Source organism: Homo sapiens, chromosome 6 (assembly GCF_000001405.40).
Source record: "Homo sapiens chromosome 6, GRCh38.p14 Primary Assembly".
NCBI lineage: Eukaryota > Metazoa > Chordata > Mammalia > Primates > Hominidae > Homo > Homo sapiens.
The window spans coordinates 23,621,489-23,627,488 of record NC_000006.12 but is presented as its reverse complement, the minus strand read 5'-3'; the positions used below and the strand labels follow the sequence as shown (position 1 = coordinate 23,627,488).

The 6,000-nt window shown below is 36.5% G+C and overlaps 1 long non-coding RNA gene across 1 annotated transcript in view; it reads left to right on the top strand.

Moving 5' to 3' along the window:
• The first annotated feature begins 1,154 nt into the window (after window positions 1–1,154).
• LOC105374976 (uncharacterized) overlaps window positions 1,155–6,000 on the top strand; it is a 289,589-nt gene continuing 284,743 nt past the window's right edge. The window contains exon 1 of the long non-coding RNA XR_001744046.2: window positions 1,155–1,355. This is a non-coding gene — a long non-coding RNA (uncharacterized LOC105374976). The remainder of the gene's footprint in view (window positions 1,356–6,000) is intronic.

Genomic DNA, 6,000 nt, shown 5'->3' with positions numbered 1-6,000 from the left:
AAAATCTTAGCACATCTGTTAATGCAGATAAACATTACTGATAGACACAAAGAGGGTTTTGATGGAGGTTTAAATTTGTGATGTGAAAGTAGTCTGTCTCATGTTTCTGAATTGAATTATTATATGAAACACGTTAAAGTCTGATACCATTTATGTGGTCGATTGTGACCTTACCATGATATAGGGCAGAAAGAAATGAAATGTCCAGATGGATTGTCCAGGAAGAACAACTCATACACAAAAATCATGAACCCATTTGGTAGCACAGGTGTACAGATCCTGCCTCTGTTTAAACATGGAGAAGAGTTACCTGGAGAAGCCTATCTATGTTCCAAGAGCTACATGATTACAAGATGATGAACAGCTGCTCCTGCCCACCTCAGACCCTGCTCAGACATGAGAAAAAAAGGCTATTTGCTTTTGGAGAAAGGGAAAGATATCCTCTTACTTTCCCAGTCTCTACCTTGATTTTAGGCATAGGTCTGCTATCATTGACGGAAATCTACCTCTACAGTGCACTGATATTATGCAAAAACATCTACTAATACAGAGGGACTGCAAACCAACTGGTACCCAGGGTTCTGGATTGGTACAGGGTAGAGGTCTTCTTTTGCTAGGGAGAGGCAGAAAAGTCATTCTCTCCAAATACCCCCATTGTCTTAGTCCGTTTACACTGCTATGAGAGAATGCCACAGACTGGGTGGCTTATAAAAAACAGAAATTGATTCATCATGGTTTTGGAGGCTGGGAAGTCTAAGACCAAGGCACCAGCATATTTAGTGTCTGGTGACAGCCTGCTTCCTGGGATCATCTTTTCACTGTGTCCTTGGTGAAAGGGGTGAATGAGCTTGCTGGAGTCTCTTTTTTAGAGGGGCACTAATCCTACTGTGAGGGCTCTACACTCAAGACCCAATCACCTTCCAAAGGCCCCACCTCCAAATATCATCACATGGGTCATTGGGATTTAGCATATGAATTTTGGGGGGAACACAAGCATTCAAGCAGAAGCACCTATCAATATAGGGCAGAGTTTGACTGGCATGGAATAGGGGTGTGGTACTCACTCTTTAGACTGTGCATTTGAGGAGAAAGCAGAGCTTGTTTTACAGTGGGAATGGAACAAAAATGCTGAGAAATCTCATTCTTTGATGCTCAGGTGCTCATGGCCTGCTGAAGACTGATGTTGGAACAGAAGAGCTGAGAAACACACCTGCCCCTACCTCAAGCCCTGCACCAAGTAAAAGTCAGCAGCAATATACCCTGGGGAAAGGGCTAGAGTGTGGCTGGAGATCTTGCTGAAAGCTGGAGGTGGAGGAGGAATACAAAGATAAGATTTTAGGACTCCAGGCTTCACAGTAAGTAAAAGTAACAGTCATCTACCACTGGAGAATCTTGAAGTCTGGTAGACTGAAATTAACTAGAGCAACATACAACCAAACACAAGACAGCTACTGGAATGATTGAACCAAGTGTACCAATGACCTGAAAGAAGCATGCCCATTTCCAGGAATAAATCCTTTTTATATCAGTCTGTCTGTACACCATGTCTACCATTCAACAAAAACTTAGGAGAGACAAAATAAAACAAGAAAAAAAAAACCTCATTGTCCAGAGGCAAAAGTAATCCAGAGGCAAAACAGATTGAGAAATCATCTAGTGGCTGGAATTATTACACAGTAATTTAAAACTAACTATAATTTGTTTAACGGCATAGTAGATGAGATAAATGGGATGCATGAACAGATAAGGACTTTCAGAGAGATTACAACTTTACGAAGGAGTCAAATGGAAATGCTAGAAATGAAAAATACCATATCAGAAATAAGTAATTTCATCAATTAGCCTACAAGCAGACTGGATACAGCAAAAGAAAACCAATCAGTGATCTTGAAGACAGGTAAACAGGAATTATGGCAATGGTAACGCAAAGAAAAAACGATGGTAAGCAGTAAAGCTTCCAACAGATTTGAGCTATTTAATATTTATGAAACACTGTCCTCAACAATAGCTGAATACAAATTTACATTAAATGCAGTGGAATATTTACCAAGTTGTATCATTTTCTGGATGATAAAATTCAATAAATGTTAAAAGATTAAAATCATATATGCTTTATGATTTCAGCAAAGTAAAACTAAAAACCAAAAGCAAAGTGATGGGGGTTTGCCCCCAGCTTTATTGAAGTAAAATTAACAAATAAAAATGTATATATTCAAGGTGTACAACTTCATGTTTTGAGATATGTGTGTGTGTATATATATATATATACACACACACACGTAATAATCATATATATGTATATATATACACATACATTATGTACTAATCACAAGCTAATTAACCTATTCAACACCATGAGTGCATGCACACACACACACATTCACATCACAAGAGGAAACAGAAAATACTTTGAAAAACAAAAAAACATATTTGAATTTATGGAATGCAACTAAAGAGGTTATTAGAGGGGAATTTATAATATTACGTGTTTATATTAGAAGAAACATTTTAAAGCAATTATCTAAGGTAACACCTTTGGAAATTAGGAAACCAAGAGTAATTAGGTCGTAATTAAACAGAAGGAAGTTAATAAAGATAACAAAAATAAATGAAGTAGAATACAGAGTAATAGAGAAAATTTAAAGCAAGCAATGCTGATTACACAAAAATATCAATGTAATTGAAAACATCTATCCAGACTAAGAGAAAAGGGGAGAAGACACAAATAGTTATCAGGAATAAAAGGAATCATTACAGATAATACAAATATTACAAGGGTAATACTCAAGTATTATAATCTTATCAGAATAATGTCACCATATACAGTCATGCAATGCATGACAGTCAATGACGGACCACATATATAATGATAGTTCCATAAAATTATAATTCCATGTTTTTGCTGCACCTTTTCTATGTTAAGATACACAAATATTGTGTTCTAATTGCTTACAATATTCAGTACAGTAACGTGCTGTACAGACTTGTAGTCTAGGAGCAAGAGGTTATACCATATAGCCTTGATGTGTAGTAAGTAGGCTCTACCATCTAGGTGTGTGTAACGACACCCTATGATATTTGCACAATGACAGATTTGACTAAGGATGCATCTCTCAGAACTTACTCTCTTTGTTAAATGACACATGACTGTAGATGAAAAGGACAAACTAACTGAAAGACACAAACTGCAAAAGTTTATTCAAGATGAAATAGCCTAAATAGCCTTAATATTGATTTAAAAAACTGAATTTGTAATCTAAAACCTTGTTGAAATGAAAATTTCAGGACTAAATGATTTTCACTGTTGAATTCTATCAAATATTTAAGGAATAAATAATTACAATTCTACCCATATTTTTCCAGAATGCAAAAGATAATAGTAAACATTCCAACTTTTTTTTTGAGGTTAGAATTACCCAGATACCAAAATGAAACCCATACATTACAAAAATAAAAAAAGGACAGACCAATATCTCAAAGTTTCAAAAATTCTTACAAAAATTAAGTTACATTCAGCCATATATAAAAATTATAACCCTTTATGTCCAAATAGGATTTATCTCAAGAAATGTAAAGTTAATGTGTGAAAAACTCGATCAATTTAATTCATTATATTCACAAACTTAAAAAGAAATACTTACGTCAGTAGAGACAAAAAAGCATTTGACAAAATTCAATATTCATTTGGTATTTTAAAAATAACTCTCAACAGACAAGAAATAGAAGGGAACTTCTTTAACCTTTCCTTCATAAAGTACATTTATGAAAAAATTAGAGGTAACACGTCATTTAGTGGCGAAAGATAGAATGCTTTGCTTGCTCGCCCTCCCTCCCTCCCTTCCTGTCTTCCTTCCTCTCTTCTTTCCCCCCTTCCTTCCTCCCTTCTTTCCTCCCTTCTTTCCTCCCTTCTTTCCTCCCTTCCTCCCTTCCTTCCTTCCTCTCTCCCTTCCTCCCTTCCTCCCTTCCTCTCTCCCTTCCTTCCTTCCTCTCTCCCTTCCTCCCTTCCTTCCTTCCTCTCTCCCTTCCTCCCTTCCTTCCTTCCTTCCTCTCTCCCTTCCTCCCTTCCTTCCTTCCTCTCTCCCTTCCTTCCTTCCTCTCTCCCTTCCTCCCTTCCTTCCTTCCTCTCTCCCTTCCTCTCTTCCTTCCTTCCTCTCTCCCTTCCTTCCTCTCTCCCTTCCTCTCTTCCTTCCCTCCTTCCTCTCTTTCTCTCTTTCTTTCTCTCTTTTCTTTCATCAGGTTCTCTCTCTGTCACCCTGACTGGAGTACAGTGACTGCTCACTGCAACCTTGACTTCCCAGGCTTAAGCAATCCTCCCACCTCAGCCTCCCAGGTATCTGGGACTAAAGTCATGCACCGCCATGCCCAGATAATTTTTTTTTTTTACTTTTTGTAGAGACAAGGTCTCATTTATGTTGCTAGGCTGATCTTGAACCCCTGTGTTCAAGTGATCCCCCTGACTTGGCCTCCCAAAGTGCTGAGATTATAGGCATGCGCCAACGTGCCTGGTCGCTTCTAATCCAGAACAAAGCAAGGAGTCTCACCACTTCTATTTACCATTTTATTGGAGATCCTAGCAAGGATAAAGATAAAAAGATAAAGCAAGAAAAGGAAATAAAAGGTGTTCAGTTTGGGAAGGAGAAATACAACTTTCAATTTTTTTTTTTTTTTTTTTGAGACCCAGTTTCACTGTGTTGCCCAAGCTGGAGTACGGTGGCATATCTCCCTGCAACCTCAGCCTCCTAGGCTCAAGCAATCCTCCTACCTCAGCCTCCTGCATACCTGGGACTACAGGCGCATGCCACTATGTCCGGCTAATTTTTTTTTTTTAATTTTAGGTTTGGTAGAGATGGGGTTTCACCATGTTGCTCAGGCTGGCCTTGAACTCCTGAGCTCAAGAGATTCATCTGCCTTGGCCTCCCAAACTTCTGGGATTACAGGCATGAGCCACCACACCCTGCCTTAGGAAAGAGAAATAAAACTTTTATTTGCAGACAACATTATTCTCTAAATAGAAAAATCATAAGAAATCTACAAAAAGCTTCTTGGAAGTAATGTGTGATCTTAGCAAGGTGACAGAATACTAAGTCAACACGTAAATTTTATTTGTATATGCTATCAGTATTTAATTGGAAATTGAAATATAAGTTTAAACATTTAAATATATCAAAAATGTGAAATATTTGAGACTAAATTTGGCAAAACAGATGGAAGACTTGTACACTGAAAACTCCAAAACATTGCTGAGAGAATTTAAAGAAAAGCTAAAAAAATGGAGTGATGTACTTTGTTCATGCATTGAAAATCTCAAAATTGTTTTCATTTCTTCTCAATTTTCTCTAAAAATTCAAAGTAATCCTAATCAAAATTCTGGTAGTTTTTTAAAAAGAAATTGATCTTTTAAAATTAACATGAAAATACCATAGTTTGATATGTTAAGTGAGATTTTCTTTGTATTAATTTTGCTTGGTGTTTGCTAAGCTTCTTGAATCTATAATTTTTTGTCTTTAATACAGTTTGCTGAATTTTCAGCCATTATTTCTTCTAGTATATTTTCTCCATTTTCTCTCTCTTTTCTTTCTGAGTCTCCAACTACATATTTGATTTATCTTTTGTTCATCTTACAACTTCCTGTGGTGCTGCTCATTTTTGATTTCTGTTTTTTTTCATGTTTTTCATTTCTATTGAATTGTCACATCCAGTGATTTTTTTAAAACTTTAAATATATTTCTCAATTCCAGAATTTCCATTAGATTTTTTTAATATTTTCTTTTTCTCTACTGGGATTTTTTTTTTGGGGTGGGGGCATCAATTCGAGCAGATTTTCATTTACCGCCTTGAGCCTATCAATAAAAACTGCTTATGTGCTAATTCTATGATTTGTGTCATCTTGGGTTTGGTCTCTGTTCATTGTTCTGTATAGAATAGCTGATGTTTTCCTGTTTCTTCTTCTATTGAGTCATTTTGAATTATATGCTGGACATTGTAAATGACATCTCATCG